The 18,360-nt window shown below is 37.9% G+C and overlaps 2 long non-coding RNA genes across 2 annotated transcripts in view, besides 4 other annotated features; one reads left to right on the forward strand and one right to left on the reverse strand.

The window, feature by feature from the left end:
• The window catches only part of LOC105370777 (uncharacterized), a 556,255-nt gene that overhangs the window by 290,372 nt on the left and 247,523 nt on the right, over positions 1 to 18,360 (reverse strand). The window lies entirely within an intron of this gene.
• On the forward strand, positions 12,425 to 14,988 carry LOC124900600 (uncharacterized). The gene is made up of 3 exons (XR_932142.3): positions 12,425 to 12,655; positions 13,559 to 13,665; positions 14,330 to 14,988. It is a non-coding gene; the product is annotated as an uncharacterized LOC124900600 (long non-coding RNA).
• Positions 16,187 to 17,142: an enhancer, noted in NCBI's record as "NANOG-H3K27ac hESC enhancer chr15:39463565-39464520 (GRCh37/hg19 assembly coordinates)". NCBI's record gives its function as "activates a minimal SCP1, AML or CMV promoter by ChIP-STARR-seq in primed H9 embryonic stem cells {active_cell/tissue: H9 hESC(primed)}" and the evidence as "EXISTENCE:reporter gene assay evidence [ECO:0000049][PMID:30033119]".
• Positions 16,187 to 18,098: a biological region, named in NCBI's record as "NANOG-H3K27ac hESC enhancers GRCh37_chr15:39463565-39464520 and GRCh37_chr15:39464521-39465476".
• Positions 16,871 to 17,165: a silencer, noted in NCBI's record as "tiled region #8206; HepG2 Repressive DNase unmatched - State 8:EnhW". NCBI's record gives its function as "represses a minimal TATA promoter and a strong SV40 promoter by Sharpr-MPRA in HepG2 cells {active_cell/tissue: HepG2}" and the evidence as "EXISTENCE:reporter gene assay evidence [ECO:0000049][PMID:27701403]".
• Positions 17,143 to 18,098: an enhancer, noted in NCBI's record as "NANOG-H3K27ac hESC enhancer chr15:39464521-39465476 (GRCh37/hg19 assembly coordinates)". NCBI's record gives its function as "activates a minimal SCP1, AML or CMV promoter by ChIP-STARR-seq in primed H9 embryonic stem cells {active_cell/tissue: H9 hESC(primed)}" and the evidence as "EXISTENCE:reporter gene assay evidence [ECO:0000049][PMID:30033119]".

Below are 18,360 nucleotides of genomic sequence, written 5' to 3' on the forward strand. Positions count from 1 at the left end.
CGAGGCGGGTGGATCACAAGGTCAGGAGATCAAGACCATCCTGGCTAACACAGTGAAACCCCGTCTCTACTAAAAATACAAAAAAAGTAGCCAGGCTTGGTGGCACATGCCTGTAGTCCCAGCTACTCGGGAGGCTGAAGCAGGAGAATCACTTGAATCCAGGAGGCAGAGGTTGCAGGGAGCCGAGATCATGCCACTGCACTCCAACCTGCATGATAGAGAAAGGCTCCGTCTCAAAAAAAAAAAAAAACAGAATGGGCAGCTCTTGCTTTAGTAAGGCTTCCATTCTTGTTTTAAGAAATAGCAAAGGGTTAATATTTAAACTCATAAAGCTCTTGAAACCTTGTGTAAGTAACCTTATCCTAGAAAAATGACCTGTATTTTAATTTATATTAGATGGGGAATTTTCACATGTAAACCTTCCCTAGGTAAGAAAAAGAAAAGGAAGATTCCCGAAAGACTCAGATAGAAGAGAGAGGGTAACCGTCAAAGAAAACACATCCTGTCTAGGATAATATGGGGTCTGGATCATCAAAATTGTCTGAATTTTTATTGCTTTCCCTGCCATTATGATTTGAAAAGGCTTGTTGAGATGTCCTCTCTACCAGATTGGATAAATCAATGTCCTTGGCTGGAATGTTCAAGCTCAGAGAGGCCAGGAACTCAGGTGTGTGACCTTCGACTTTTTAATAAATAGAAAGCAATGAAGACTGCCTGAGGTTACAGATCATTGAGATGAGTTTTAATTACCCTTTTGGGGAGACACAAGCCAAAGCGTTCAACAAAACTACAACCCATTGGCTCTCTCGAGTTTAGAACATTAATGTCTCATTTCCATAGCTCTCTCGGTCATCTCTTAAACACAATGTTTGAATTCCCAAGGTCATTTTGCCATGAATTTCTCCCAAACCCTTAAGAAAAGACAATATCAGCAGGGAAAGAGGCCAGTCCACTCTTTCAAGGAAGCAGTTTTCAGAGAAGTATCAAGACCCTTGTCAGCACTAGGAAGGATATGTGAATTTTTATGATTGCCTCTTTACTCTTTCCCACATGTGATCAATGACTAGAGGTGAAGTAAGTCCTTCTCAGGGTGGGACAAGAGGCATGTCTAAGGCTTGTTTCCTTATAATTTTGTCTTTCATTTACTTTCTGTAGTTCTGTGGCCAGCTCATAGGACTCCAGGGACCTTGAGACTGAAGCACATTCTACAAATAAAGTCAAATGCAGTGAGTAATCTGAGCTCAGTGCAGCTGAGAGGGCAGGGGTCAGGCCTGGAAGTCATCAGATGAAAAATCAGACCAAAAATTAAAATGAAAATATTGGCAGCTAGTGAAATACCAAAAAACGACAATTCCTTCATTTGGTCCTCCCTGCCTTTCCAGACCATGATCTCTCACGCTACATTCAAGTTCCAAGGAGATCCTTCTCTATGCAGAGATCATATAGGACCCTCAGGTGCTTGCGAGAGCATATGGTATGTTCTTTGCCCCTGGGAACGTTCTCTTTTGGACATCAGCTGAATCCTTACAAGCTCTAGTGTTGCTCTAGTCTAGACTCAATGGATCACTGTCCAAGGAATCAGACCTATTGATGACTCTCAAAAATTTCAGTAAAGGGATACTTATATAAACATCAAACTGAAGAGCCATTTATCAGCTCTGTGTGCACATAAATCATCACCCAGAGAGAGGATATTTCAACCAGAAAAGATAAGGAAGTTTAGCTAAGCTGTCTGAAGAAAGTCAGTGAAGGTTGAATAAGGATAAAGGGAGGCTTCCCTATTAGGACATGAAGGGAAAAAGGGAAATTCCCCAAATAAGAAAAAAATTGGGACAAGCCCAGTCAATTACAGAGACTGCCCTGAAAAGACTGGCCAATGTGAGCTGACCCTGGAGCTGAGACTAAAAGCTAAATGCCAAAGTCTGTTTCTCAGAGGTCAGCTGGTGCCTGAGACCCAGCATCGGGGTTATTAGGCCATAGCTGGAGCCTTCCTGGCTCAGCCTCACTCCCCAAAGGGCCATTGTTATTCAATAGGCCAATAGTTGCTAAATCCAACTGAACAAGATGAATTATATAATCTTTCTCTGTGGGGGTTTTATGATTAGATAAGTTTTGCATAGAGACTTCAGGAAGGCCACCCTTAATTTAGACTTTGGATTAATATTCACTCTCTCATAATTTTATGCATTATCTCCTAGATAGAATTCACCTGATTATAAGGGAAAAAAGAGATGAGATAGTCTGAAAAATACTCAAAGACATGCTGCCAACTTAATAAAAGCTAAAAGTTTCAGCCTAAACATTCCTCTTTAATGAAGACCTTGGTGCAGCTGAAATGGGATGATTCCATTCTAAAACATCTAAAGAAATTTACCATAGTTAGCAGAACAGATTTGCTTCTTCTCAGTGAAATTATCTTTCATCTTTCTCAATGTTTATAAAAGTAGGATCTTTAAAAGTCTGCATTATAAAGCAAAAAAAAAAAAAAAAACTGTCCCACAGCTAAAAACCAAAAATAAGTCATCAAAACTGAAATGGAAACACATTCCCCTCGATAATTACATTTTAGTAAATAAAGATATAACTAGCTGTTGGTGATGATTTCTGGTGATGAAAATGACCCAGAATTCTACTTCAATCATAGTTGAGTCCAATTTTTAAAAATCAATCACATTTACTTGTTGTATGTCATTATGCCAATGAATAGGTTAACAAGAAGATAGCTGCTAGCAACAATATTCCAATTCAGAAGTGGACATGAAGACAAACAGGATTCTCTGATGAATGACCCCAGTGGGTAATTAGCAATGTATTGAAAACAGATAACAGGTGCCCTAGACTCCCCAGCCAGCAAGGAGGCTATGTCCAAACTCAGCTTCTCACAGATCTCTAGTTAGTGGGGGGGTGTCTTTCCCAGAACTCCCCTTTAAACAGCTGGCACCTGAGCTCAGACTTCCAGGAACTTAAGCCCAAAATGCTTATTCACTCCGTTCCAGGCTGCTCTCAGGCTTACTCTATAAAAAAGGGAGAGCCACAGAAAAGAGTGTTTTCTGGAACCCAGATCCTCAGTGTAATTAGATGTGTTCCAGCCTAAGCATTTCTTTTTTGCAGGAAGCCAAGAGAACAGAGACCCATGCAGCCACTGGCTCTTCTGCCTGTTAATTCCAATCTGTCTCAAATAATGCTGTTCACCCAGAGTCTTTGCATAACAATGAGGAAACAGAGACACAAGGGTACAACACCGCCATCATCTATCCATCGAGTCAGCAGAGTCACTGTAGATGGCATCCACCTTCTTATTTACAAAGAAACCGATACACAAAGACACCAGCCATAGACCTAGACTTTAAACTGTATTTGCTACCCCTTTTATGCCCACAACATAGTAGTGCCTGCAGAATTGTTAACTAAAGTGTTTCTCTAATGAGGGAGTAAGTGAGCATTCTTATATGATGGCTTTCAGTAACCAAAAGGAAACAAATTTAGTACAAGGGCGCTTTGGTAAAATGACATAGGAAATGGATTCTGGTATTTGCCTGCAATAAATTATAAATTGGCAGGGAACAGACAACATTTTATATTCATTTAAAATAAGCATAATGAAGAATTGCTTTTTAAGTGAAGACCAAGATAATCTCGGCATTTGACGTTATCAACACATCTTTCATTTTCCCACATACAATCTGCCCTGTGCTGCACACCACAAATTTACATGCAAAAAATATAAAAGGGAGGCTGGGCGTGGTGGCTCACGCCTGTAATCCCATCACTTTGGGAGGCCGAGGCGGGCAGATCACGAGGTCAGCAGATCGAGACCATCCTGGCTAACACAGTGAAATCCCGTCTCTACTAAAAAAATTAAAAATAAAAAAATTAGCCGGGCATGGTGGCGGGCACCTGTAGTCCCAGCTACTCAGGAGGCTGAGGCAGGAGAATGGCATGAACCTGGGAGGAGGAGCTTGCAGTGAGCCGAGATCGCGCCCCTGCACTCCAGCCTGGGCGACAGAGCGAAGACTCCGTCTCAAAAAAAAAAAAAAAAAAAAAAAATTTATATATATATAAAAGGATACAAATAATGTCTGAATGATCTGAATGATCATGTCTGCTCTTGTGTATGTAAAAGCCTAATTTCCAAAAGTGGAATAAAGAGAAAAAATACACAAACAAAAATTATAAGCTCCTGGAGTTCAGCCATGAAATATTATTGAGATTAGAAGAAGGGTGAAGCCATGGTCAAGCTCTTGATGAAATGCCCTGCTTGCCTATAAAGAGATGTGAATCTTAACATCTCCATGGTGATGAGCAGACAGATGCCCACTGGTGTTTTCATGTCTACATTTAATGGGTGAGAATTTCAATGATTTATTCCAAGCTTTGGGGGCTGGGGGTAAACTCAGATTTTTATCTAGCATGAAACTCTTGTGGCCTCTCTGAACAATGTAGCCTGACTTTCTGTTGGATTGATGCTGAAAAGCTCTTTTATTTCTCTATAGCAAATGGTTCCCTGGTCTTTTGGTATACCAGAGAAGTGAGATATATAACCCTAAACCAGCTTAAAAGTTAGCTTGCTGTACCTAGTGTTCCAACACATTCTGTCTCTTGTACCATTTATTTTATTTCATATTAACTAATGTTACTTTTCTTCATTCGTAAGTATTCAGTTGGTCATAAGATAATTGCTATTTGACAATCTTTTAAATTTATTTCATTCTTTATGGAAAAGTAAATGCAACCAGGAATATTAGCATTAACATAAATCCAAATAAAACCAGGTGACAGGCAAGTTAAAATGTTCCAAACAACACTGAAACAAAACCTCAAAACTCTAGCATGGCACATACTGTTCCTGAATATTCTCTGATTTTAGACACATCATCAAGATTATGCTGGTGGTCAGGAGGAACATTGGAGTTACTATCTTAAGGTGAAAGACATGAGAATCTGTGAGCAAGAATAGAGTTGATTTTAATTCTAAAAGGGCTGAAGCCACACTCTCCTTCACTGAAGAAGTGCTGCCTCCTCTTTTCTCCTCCATTTTCCATTTGCTGCTGTGATTACCAGATGTGATAGTCAGACTCTTTAGAAATGTTTAAGACTTTGTTAAGGAATATGTGGAGATGGAAATTTTCATGCAATGCTCATAAAGTATAAATTGACACAATTTTTCTGGGAAGCAACTTGGCAAAATAAAACAGCCTTAAAAGTGATCAAATTATTTGTTCCAGTATTCCTCTACTAGAAATTTATCCTAAAGAAATAGTTATAATAGAAAATACACAAAACACCTTAACTGCCTAATTGTATTGGAATGATTAAATTAATGTACATTAACAAGATGAAATAGTATTAAGTAATATCTTTGAGGATATATTCACAGCATTAAGTGAAAAAGCATGAATACAATTTTATGTACAGCATGTCCTCAATATATTTACATGCACACAAATACACACAAATGGATATATTAGACAAAACATTGGGAAGAAATATGCCAGAGTAGTTAAAGTGGTTATTTCAGGGTGGAAGAGAAGAATAATTTTTACTTATACTTTTCTGTGTTTTCCAGTTGCTTATATTGAGCATGTTACTCAATTTTACCAGATATGCATTTATAATTGCAATAGTGATAAATATTCTGTAAACTTGAAACAGCATAGAAATGTATGAAATAAAAGACATCTCCCCACTCATTCTCCTGATCTCTGCTTACTAGCAAGAAAAATACAGTTTATATTTCCAAACTATTTATGTGTATATATATATACATATATACATGATATACACATATATATACATTTATACAATAATTTTATAAAAACATAATACTGAGCATATTGCTCTACAATTTATTTTATATTAACCAAAATTCCTTGGACATCTTTTTATGTTGTTATATAGGAATACATCAGTTTTTATAGACTTTAATTTTTAGAGCAGTTTTAGATTCACAGAGAAATTGAGCAAAAAGTACAGAGTTCCCATATTTCCCTGCCCCCACATACACATGGCCTCCCCCACTATCAACATTTCACATCAGCATGGTGCATTTTTTACAACTGATGTACCTACACTGGCACATCATTATCACCCAAAGTCCATAATTTACATTCTTGGTATTATACATTTCATGAGTTCACTCTTGGGTGTTGTACATTCTGTGGGTTTCGACAAGCATAATGGCATGTGTGCTGTGTTCTGTATCATATTATAGTATTATATGGAATAGTTTCAGTGTCCTAAAATTTCTCTGTGCTTTGCCTATTCATCCCTCCCACCTAACCACTGGCAACCATTAATATTTTTACTGTCTCTATAGTTTTCCTTATTTAGAATGTCATATAGTTGAAATTATATAGTATATAGACTTTTCAGATTGGCTTATTTTATTTACTAATATGCATTTAAGATTCTTCCATGTCTTTTCATAGCTTGATGGAATGTTCCATGTTCATTTGAGAAAAATGTATATTCTTCTGCTGTTGGGTGGACTATTCTGTATATGTTGTTAGGTTTAGTTAGTCTGTAGACTTTTTCAAGTCCTTTATTTCCTTATTAATCCTCACTGGGGTTGTTGTAGCCACTATTGAAAGTGGAGTACTGAAATCTCTTAGTATTATTGTGCTTCAGTCCATTTCTCCCTTCAATTGTGTCAAAGTTTCATTCATATATTTTAGAGCTTTGAGATTTGGTGCATAAATATTTATAACTATTGTATTTTCTTGGTAAATTGACCTTTTTAATCATTATATAATGACCTTATTTGTCTCTTGCACCAGGTTTTGATTTAAAGTCTGTTTTGTCTGGGTTAGTGTAGCCACTCCTGCTCTCTTTTGGTTATCATTTACATAGAACATCTTTTTCCATTCTTATACTTTCAACCCATGTGTGTCCTCAGATCTAAAGTGGGTCTCTTTTTGACAGTACATAGTTGGATCCTTTTTAAAAAACAAATTCATTCAACCAACCTATGTCTTTTGATTGGGAAATTTCATCCATTTACATTTAAAGTACCCATAAGGATTATTTATTGCCATTTTGTTTATTGTTTTATCTTGTAGCTTTCTTGTCCATCTTTTTCTCTTCCTTCCTTCCTTCATGTTTTGTTGATTTTTTTAGTGATATCCTTTGATTCCCTTTCTATTTCTATTTATGTATACTCTATGGATATTTTCTTTGTGACTACCATTGAAAATATATAAAATATCTTAAAGTTACAGCATTCTATTTAAAACTAATAACTTCAATCACATATTAAAACTCTACTTCTTTACAGTTCTAATCTCCCATTTTATGTCACTGATGTCACAAATTACATCTCTAAATATAATAGACCCATCAACATGGATTTATAGGGTTTTTTGTATTTTGTTAAGTTCTGTGTACCAAAAATTACAATAGTACAGGTTTCTATATTTTTCCATGTATTTACCTTTGCCAGAGAACCTTGTATTTTTGTATGGCTTCATGTAGATATCTACTATTCTTTCATTTGAACTTGAAGGATTCTATTTAGCATTTTCTGTAGAGCAGGTCTAGTAGTAAAGAACTCTCACATTTTACCTGAGAAAGTATTAGTTTTTTACATTTTAAAAGATAGTTTTGCTAGATATAATACCCTTGGTTGACAGGTTTTTTTTTCTTTCTATACTTTGAATATATCACCCCATTCTCTTCCATTCTACAAAGTTTCTGCTGAGGAATCCACTGATAAGCAAATGGAAATCCCTTTACATGAGATGAATCACTTTTCTCTTTCTGCTTTTCAAAAACAAGATTTTCTCTTTGTCTTTGACTTTGCATAGTTTGCTTATAATGTTTCTCAGTGTGGTTCTCTTTGGATTTATCCTAGCTGTAGTTTTTAAGCTTCATGAGTCTGTATGTCCATTTCTTTCCTCAGATATGGAAAGTTTTCAAACATTATTTGTTTAAATAGGCTCTCTTCCTCTTTCTCTCTACTCCTTCAGAGTTTCCCATAATGTGTATGTTGATACCCTTAATAGTGTCTCAACAGTCGCTTAAGCGATCTTCACTTTTCTCCATTCTTTTTTCTGTTTGCTCCTCTGACTCAATGATTTCAAATGACCTCTTTTCATGTTTGCTGATTTTTTCATCTGCCTTATCAAGTCTGCTGTTGAGCCATTCCAGTAAAATTTCTAGTTTAGTTATTGTATTTTCCGGTTACAGAATTTCTATTTGGTTCTTTATAATTTCTGTCTCTGTTGATGCTCTTATTTTGTTCAGGCATTGTTTTCCCGACTTTGCTTAGTTTTCTGACTGTGTTCTCTTTTAGCCCACTGAGTATTTTTTATGATAGTTATTTTAAATTCTTTATCAGGCAGGTGATAGATTTATACGTTTTTTGAGGTTGGTTTCTTGAATTTTATTTTGTTCCATTGAGTGGGCCATGTGTTTTTTGCTTCTTTATATGCCTTGTGTTTTATTTCAGGCTGCTATAACAAAATATCATAAACTGGGTTACTTATCAAGAACATAAACATATTTCTCACAGTTCTGGAGGCTGGAAGTTCAATATCATGGTGACAGCATGATCAGACTCTGGCAAGGTCCTTCTTCTAAGTTGCAGACAGCCATATAACCTCAGATGACCAGCAGAAGGCGAATTAGTTCTCTGGCTTCTTCTTATAAGGGTATCCTACTCATGATGGCTTCACCTTTATGACCTAGTTACCCCTCAATGACCCCATCTCTAAATACCATCACATTGAGGATTCAATTTTAACATACAACTTTTGGAGGAAACACAAACATCTGTCCATTATACCTTATTATTTCTTTTGCTGGGATTTAGGCATTTGGAAAAACAACCACCACTGATATTTTTTGTATGCTGGCTTTGTAAAGGGGAAGACCTTCACCCATTTGGCCCTGCTGGAGGTTCCAGGACTTCTCAAACCTTTTCTGACCTTTTGCTCCTTCTGATAACTGTGGAACTGCAGCTTTAATATGGGCTCATCTCTTTTCATCTGCTTTCAAACCCTGGCACTGATCCCATCATCAATGCTCTGGATTAGGCAAGACAGAAACTAGTCCCTCAAGCAGCCCCCAGATGAGCCAGAAAGTTGGATGTATGATCCACCTTTTACATGTGTCCTGAGGGAGGGATCCTGATATGGAAAGTTTTCTCCTAGTAGCTCTCTACTATGCTGCATAGGGGAAGGGGCACAAATGCTGAAGATTTTTCTGTTTTTTTCACTGGAATCCTGTCTTGCTTTTACAATGGCTGGGTGTTGTAGCATCTTAACCGGTCTCTGTAGTTCTCACAGCGGTATTCTGGTTCATATATTTTTGTTAACTCAGTTTCTCTGTGGGGAAGAGAGAGCCTGTAGCTTCATAGCCCACCATCTTACTGATGTCACTCCTTACGTCTTTTTAGTGCTGAATAGTATTTCATTGCCTGGATATACAACAGTTTATTTATCCATTCACCTACTGAAGAATATCTTGGTTGCTTTCAAGTTTTAGCAATAATGAATAAAACTGCTATGAACTCCTGCGAACAAATTTTCTTATGAACATAAACTTTCAACTCGTTTAGGTAAATATCAATAATTGCAATTCCTGGATCATATGGTAACATTGTTTAGTTTTGTAGTAAACTGTCCAACTGTCTTCCACAGTGTCTGTGGCATTTTGCATGTCTACTAGCAGTGAATGAGGTTTCCAGTCCTCCACATCTTCACCAGCAGTTGGTGTTGTAAGCGTTTTGAATTTTGGCCATTCTGTGTACGATAATCCTTCATTGTTTTTTCATGCTGCAATTACCTAATAGCACATGGTGTTGAGCATCTTTTTATATGCTATTTTCTATCTACATATCTTCTTTGGTGAAGTGTCTGTTTTTTCTTATTTCTTTCTCACCCCATTCCCACTTCTGAGAAATTCTGATGTCATGTGATAGTTTCCTTTTGATGATTACTCACATACAAATGAGGTAAATTCTTAGTGGGCTATTTAATTCAGATTTATATAGGCATGTGGCTGTGGCTCTATTGCATACAAAAAAAATTTTTTAATGACATGTGATGTGTGTATGAGTGAATATTTTTAGCCATTAGTTCTCTCAGTGAACTGAGAACTGCCCTGCAGAATTACTCATAATGCAGTACATTCTCCTTCTCTTACGGTCTCACAAACTGCTTCCTCCAAAATGGCTTTTCTTTATAAATCCCTGTTTTGTCACACTGTCATATTTTTTAGATTGCCTACCAAAAAAAATAATAATCCAGGGAGGCACAGTGAACCAACTCATACACTGCTTTCCCACTGTGTCAAGCAAGTTGTTCTCCTCAGGCTGTGCCACTGGAAGGAGAATTGGGCTCTGCTTTCTCTGAGATCTGCAGCTACACGCATGTTCCATATCTTTCCCACTTCCCTGTTGCCTATTATAACTTTGGGCAGCCTTTCCTTCTATTTTGTGGTTCTGAGTTTCAAAAGTCTGTTAGTTTAATCAAAACTGGAGTTTGTGTGTCTGGGTCTTGTACCTCTGTTGCATTTGGGTGATTTCTGGGAGATGAGAAAAATGTCTAATGTTATCTGGCCATTTTAAACCCAGATCCTAATTGCTTCTCAGCCTTTGGGCTAGGATCTGTTCTTGTCAGTTTAAAACTAGACTTCAGTGGCTTTTCAAAAATTCTGTAGCCACTTGGATTTCTTTTCTTGTTAATTACTTAATTATCCATTCACATCCTTTTTAACCTTTTGGGGTATTCCTTTAGTAGTCAGCAAAACAATTTGAAAATTAACAAAATATTTTCTCAAAGGAGGGTGGTAGTGACCATGATGTGAGTAGCATTCAGAGCTGATAGGAAGAGGCAGCCTTCAGTCCAATGGGACTGTCTCTGACTCTTCCTATTGGAGTCCATTGCCCAAGAGGTCTTAATTCCTAAGAACTCCCTGGGCTCATTGCTGGGCCTGGCTTATCATCTTGTTATTTTGGGTGCCACTACTAGAAGGATATTGAGAGAGTTGAGGAATAGGAAAGATAACCTTTCCTGAGTGATGTGAAAAATTCTTTCATATCTGTTTTCTTCTCTTTGCTGTCTTCCCATCATCAGCAGAACTGTCTAGGGCCATTTGCTTTGTCATAAGACTTTTGAGAAAATAACTGAATAAAATTTTTCTAATTTGGAATGAGTTGAAGTTTACATACACTTAGGGCCACAGTTTATCTCTTTCTTCTTTCATTTATTTAGCATATAGAAAGGCAAAGCAAATCAAGTCAAAATACAAATTGTTCCTAACTCATATGTGCACAGGTATCAATGAGCTGATGTGTATATGAAATGATAACACTTTTTTTACATATAACTTCCAAGTCATTTGAGCTAAAAATAAATCTACCATTGACCCCAAGCAGGAAGTTAGACATATGAAAAATTGCTCTGTACCTCTACATAGGTGCATTCTTCAAGCAAACATGGAATTGGATACAACTTTCCTCTTGATCAGTACAAATTAGGGAGAAGATATCATTTAAATATTGTGTATTATCTAAAACTCTCTGACTATATAACCTCAGATAGATTACATAAGACAGAACTAGTTACAGGGCTGTTATTTTTCCCTACTACCAAAACATCGTTAATCACAGAAGCATTTCTGCTCAAACAGAAAAGCAGTATATTACAATTTTATTATTTAAAGATCTTGAAAACGGTTTGTAGACAATATTATCAGTCACCTCCAGACAGTGGGAGGAGAATGGGGGAAGAAGAATCAGATAGAGTTAGAATTCTCAAAAGTTTATAACAAATAGACTTGAATGTTTGTTCTAAATACGAGTGCCTTGTTTACACATGATTAACACAATACGAGAAGGCATTCTATAACCTAAACTAATCCAAATCCTACCTGCTTGACTAATAGTGGCAGTCATTAATTGATTTCGCAGTAGCTAGATTTTTCTTTTATCATTTCACAATCGGGTTGGCAAAAACTGAAAAGATGTAGTAATGAAAAACAGAGAAAAATACTCCCAAATGACATAAAAATGCATTTGGAAGTTGCTTGGCTTATTCAAGATAAAAGCCTTGGAAAAATTAGCCCTGGTATCATGGAAAATATTTTTGAAATTTTGGTGACTCCTTGTTCTTCGTGAAGAAAATAAATCATGGTATCAGTGGAGCAGAAAACACAAGGGAATTTTCAATGAAATGTTTTCTTTCTTTTCCACTGATGCAATATTTGAAATGGGAGCACAGGGCATATTTCTAAGCAAAGTAGTTTTCAACAAGCATAGCTCTTTTCGGTAAATCACCTGTGGTCTTATGAACAAATAATTGTAGACATCAAATTAAAAGACATGAATTTAACATACGAATTGTGGTCTTTGTAACTGATTAAATCATGTATCAGTCTTCACATGTCCTTTATTCACATTCAAAGCACTCTAATCAGAGTGAAACATTGCTTAGGTTTTGTTAGGACATTACCACACTTTGTAAATCATCATACTTTATGAAGTAATGACCTCTTTATTACCTCAGTAGGAAGGTCTGCATTCATTTATCACATGGTAAAACTGGTCTTGATCCTTGAAGAAACTAAGCAAGGAGTGAGAGCTCTGTTGTTCTGCTGATGGGGCTCAGTCTGTTCTTCCTCTTTTCCAACAATCACACTTATTTCCAGGAAAGAGGTAAAAGCCTTTGTTGGAATCACATGGATTCCAGATCAGACCGAAGTCCACAACACTTCCTTTCCCCTACCAGGGGCTACCTCTTGGTTACATTACCTGACCTATATATGTATTTTTAAGCTCTCTTCTCTTTAACTTGGTAGCATGGGAAAATTGTTCTGGTTATCACAGCTAGAAAAAGCAACCCACTGCTATGTGATAGAATTTTGATTAAGCAGAGGCTTAAGGCTGGACATGGCAGTGATTTCTATTTAAGTATTTATAAATGTTTGCTATATCTCATGAATTCCCACCTCTGGCATAAGCACTTTCCGTTTGAGGTTCCCCTTAGTGTCCTGAGTTTGTAGGACAGTTAACCTCCATGGGATTGAGTTCCCGAATTAGATATTCTGCTTTCAGAAAGTGGCCCTCAGGAATAAAACTCATGCAGCAGGATTGAAACAAACTTTGGATACAGAAGCAACAAAACTAAAAGCACTTAAGAAAATATTAGTTATAAATCAAGCAAAATTCCTACTGGTCATGTTATAATATTTAATATATCAAAATAGAACATAACAAAATGTGTGGATGCTTCAAAATTACTTATCAGAACAGCATAAAGGGATATCTTATACCTTTCCATGACTTGTTTTCATTACCCTTTCTCTGATGTCCACCAATACATGGCAAATCATTTCAAAGTATGGAAAATGAAATCAATGAATATTCAAACTGGCTATTTCAGCTATGGCAGTGAGTTAAAACCAAGGTGTATAATTTTCTTGGTTTTAAATTTTCCTTAGTATTTCAGCTCTATTTTTTTAGATGATATAGTATGTGATTGGTATTTTTCAGTGATCAAAACAGACAGAAACCCTTGCTTTCACAGAGTTTTCATTGTTTCTTTTCCTATGTGTTTAGTTAGCAGTATTGATATAGTCCAGGGACTCCTAGAAACACCTGTTGTGTTGCTTTGGTGAGCAGATGCTGTTCATCTTCCATGGCACCTGTATTTTATCTGCATGGAGGTGAGTGGCATGCATGGGAAAAGAGGAGAGCTAGACGTATGCATTGTGGAATATAGGGATCTCTATTTTTAAAAATCTCTCAATTCTGTGAAAAGACAGCACAAACAAACTAAACCTAAGTACAGCACCACAGCCCATGTAGGCTTTCTGTTCCTCTAGATCTAAGGTGAAGCTGGAGGGTATTAGTATAATTTTGTTTGGCATTACAAAGAGAGGGTAGAATTCAGAGTCACACAGACCTGGGATGCATTCTAGTTTGTGGCCTGAGGTATATCCAATAAACTCTTTGGGTCTCAGTTCCTCAACTCTTTTTAGAATTTAGCATCATTTACTTTGTGGGTTCTATGTCTATTTTCTTCATTTAGGAAAAAGTATTTATTGAACATCTGGTGTGTCCATTTAGGCACTGCTCTAAGTGCTGGGGACATAACAATGAAGAAAATAGTCAAACATTCTCGCCCTTGTGGAACTTATAAGGACAGAGAGTATCTTACCTATTAATGTAGAAAAATTGGATTCACTCGTAACAACAACAAAAATGAATTTTCCCGTAACAAAAATGGAAGCAAAATGCTATTTTGAAATATTCTTAAAGTAACATCAGAAATTAGTATGCACCTATCATGTATAGCCTCATTATGTTCTACTTTGTCTTGCCATGCAGATGAGCTCAGCCAGAGTACTTCTCAGAGAGGATACCACGTGGATGCAAATAAGAGCAGAGAAAGCACCGAGTAGTTACAATGGTCCTTGCTGGGTGTTTGGAGAAGCTAATTATTTGAGAGAGAAACAAGCCTAGGAAAGACTTTTGGGATTAGGTGAAAAGTGTACCCTTGCAGGGAGCAAGAAGCCATGCCATGCCCAGGCTTTCGATCGCTCCACCACAGGATATCATTGTCCACAGGCCCTAACTTTAGTTCTTGATTTTTCCAACCTCTCTTTAAAGTTTATTCTTATTTTCCAAAACTTAGAAACCATGCCCAATGGAATATTGGCTGTGAAATGAATGAATGTGTGTCTCTGTTAGATCAGCCAGGCTGTTTCTCTTAACACATTCCCCCGACATGATTCTGAGATACATTAACATCACAATGCTTTCTTGACCATCGAGTCACACAGAAATGAAACCAGTCTGAAAAGATTTACTTTCCACAAGGCTATTTAAGTTACGACTACAATTTTTCTAGAGTCTCTTCTAGTTCCAAAGTACACATATATGAGTTATCTTTTTCTTTTCAAGACGAATTTTCTGGTTATGCTCCATTGTAAATCCCCTTTCGAAGTAGAAAGGACTTGTAAATAAATAATATGAGAAATTATTGTTACTTTTATCTAGGTTGAGGGGTTTATATAAATTCTGAGAATAATGAAGGATTCTATACTATGTAATCTATGAATCCCATTTTTTGCCGAAGATGTGACATGCCATGAGACTTTGCTGATGTGAATGGATACTATACATCTTATGTTCTTTTTCAATCACTTATTCTCCTACCTTATGATGCCTGTTTTATTTTCTTGCCCCAAGTAATGTTCTCTCTCAGTCTCTGAGGACTTAATAGCTCCATAAAGGCAAGGATCTTTAATTTTTTTTCGGTTTTATTCACTGCTTTATATCTAGAGCCTAAAACGATGTCTGGCATACAATAAACACTCAATATTTATTGACTGTTGAATGAGTTTTGGTTTTTAAATTTAGATGATGAAAGCAAATATATATCTAGCCACTAGTATGTGCCAAATACTCTTTTAAGCACTTTACACCTATTAACTTATTTAATCCTTAAAATAACCCACACAGGCACAGAGAGAATATAAATTTGTCCAAGTTTATTGGCAGAGGCAGGATTTGAACTCAAGCAGTCTGCCTCTGAGTCATTAACCACTGCACTACTACCGACTCTCTAGATAGCATACTTGGTAGAGAAAAAACATGTATGTTTTCCTTGCTTTTTAATATTAATTTTTAATTTTATATTTCTAAGTTATTTTATTAATTTAAATATATATTCATGTATGCACTGACTATATATTACAAATTTGTGGTTCAAAATTCAAAAGGTACAAAGAGATATAAAAGGAAAAGTCTCTCTCCTCACTCCTGTTCTTGAGCCAACCAGTTCTCCTTCCTAGAGGCAGCCAACAGCTTGTTCAAGTCTAATTCTGGCTCTGCGCTCCCCAGACATGTAACTTCAGGCAGAATACCTAATTTTTCTGTGCCTTGGTTCTCCGGCCTGAAAAATGGGGATAATAAAATACCTCCCACATGGAGTTTTTATGAGAATTAAGTGAATTAATATTTGTAAAATGCTTAGAATGGTACCTGTCACAAAATAAGTGCCAATAAATATTAGCCATTATTAATTTTGTGAGTCCTTCCAGATAGTTTACTCATATGTAAGATATATACATATATACACACACACACCTACACATACTCCTTTACCTCTCCCCCAGCCATTTTTTTTACAAATACAATTATGCACCTTGCTTTTCTCACATTTTAATTAAAAAATAAGTCCGCAAATATATTTTCTTCTGATAACCCACTATCAGCATTTCTGATGTGTGTCTTCTTGGCTTGAAGAAGGATAACTATGGTTTCCTGCTACTTTTTTTATTATTTCTTATTATTGTGATGGACATTGACGGAGAATAGCCATTCTGAGGGCAACCTGCGATAGGTAGGAATTAACAAAATCAGTCATGAAAAATGAGTGATGGTATAGATTGTGACCTTTTGAAGCTGGTTTTGGTCTCTGATCCATGTGGCTGTGGCAGCACCAAGAATTTCTGTATCAGGAAGTTGGGTACTAGCAATGATCTGACAAGAAAGTGGGGCCGGGGGATCTGTCTTAGAGTTGCATTTTCATAGAAAACATACTGTTTTCACCTGGCTTTAACACATATATGAAGTGGGGGTGTTTGCTGATGCAAGCTGTGAAGGAGAGGCATTATACCTGCCCCCCTCCCCTTTCCATCAAAGCATTCCTTGACCCTACCCCTGCCTCATGGCACTGTTGCCCTTGGCTCTACCATTTGGAGAAACAAAACAAAATGAAAACAAAACAAAAGAGAGAAACATAAGACCCATTTTCCTGATAGGCGCCCTGCCCGTAGAAGAAGAGCTGCAGCTTTGGCCCAGTCGGGAGGGTATGACAACCCCAAGTAGAGAGCTACTGAGAGAGGGAAGAGGAGAAGTAGGGGTTTTAATTGCAATTGCATTTTGATAGGAAGGGTAGTTGATCATACAACAGGTGAAGGAGGTCTTCTAGGGAGTGGGAGGGCCCAGACACTGGCTGTTAGCCAAATCCTCTCTCAGCTGCTCCCTGTGGTTTGGTGACTCAGGATTACAGAGGCATCCTGTTTCAGGGAACAAAAAGATTTTAGCTGCCAGCAGAGAGCACCACATACATTAGAATGGTAAGGACTGCCACCTCCTTCAAGAACAGGAGTGAGGGTGGTGGTGAATGGGAATGGAAGCCTGCATTCCCTGATGCATTTGTGCTCTCTCAAATCCTGTCTTAGTCTTAGGAAAGGAAGTAAAGTTTCAAGGACGGTTCCGAACTGCTTTTTGTCTCTGGGCTCAAGTTAGAGAACCTTGCAATCCTCAAAGATGTTAGGGCAGGAACAATCTGTCTTTCCAACCCCGTTTGAATGGCTTTTAGGTCACAAGTTATCCAAGAATGTCAGGGAAACTTTGCAGTTACACACCGACTCTCTGGTAAGGAAGCTCCAGAGAGACTGTGCCATGTGATGTCCCACATCAGTAGCCTGGAAGCCACAGAGTAACCCCAGACCCCTGACTCCCGGTCCCTTTGTCCTCTGAGGAGCTTCTCGGTCAGGGCCCTCATCCCAAATTCAGCCTTGTTGACCTTTTTCAAACTCAGCACTGAAAGGCTTCAAGGGCAACAGGAAGTCCCCAGGGAAGGGCAGCATCACCTTTAGGGGCTGCTGCTTTACTGGCTCTGTGCACAGAGAGTTCTGCACATGGAATGTGGACACTACATGTTTCTGAGCTGCTGCAGCTGCTCTGAACAAACGGACTCCCCCACTCCCGGGGAATCGAAACTACACAGTTTCACTCTGTCTTGTTGTGTTGTCAGCTGGCTTTCAGCATTCCCTTGTCCCCACAGAAACCTCTACATGGATCCCTTGCATGGGTGTTGTACAATGGGAGCTTTCATTCCTGCTTTGGCACCTGCAACCCTGGGTTAACAGTACCATGGAGCGGAGAAAGCGTTTACCAGAGTGCGGTGCCGCGATCCCACCCCGTGCAGCAGTTGAGCAGAGGCAAGTAGCAGGGCTATGTGTGCCTGCAGGGAAGGAGGGGAGATGAATCATGGGAGAACCATTCCCGCTGCTACCCTGAGTACTCGGAATGTCAACTACAAGTGTATTGTGTGAGGCAAAATGATACCCAATATTTACCCCTAACATATTCTGGGCTCCCAGGGGAAAACAGACCACAGAACCAAATGTACCAGCCAGGGTTCTTGGTTACAAGCCACAGAATCCATTCTTAATCAGAAGGCTGGTTCTGGAGCCAGGCTTTGAGGTCTCCATTCTGTCTTTATCTGTTACTCGCTGTAGGACCTATAAACCAATTATTCAACCACTCTGGGCTTCAGATTTTCATTCGTCAGATGAGGGCAGAAGGATTAATGCATTGAATATATGTGAACTAACTGGAGC

The sequence above is a fragment of the Homo sapiens genome, chromosome 15 (genome assembly GCF_000001405.40).
Source record: "Homo sapiens chromosome 15, GRCh38.p14 Primary Assembly".
Classification (NCBI taxonomy): Eukaryota; Metazoa; Chordata; class Mammalia; order Primates; family Hominidae; genus Homo; species Homo sapiens.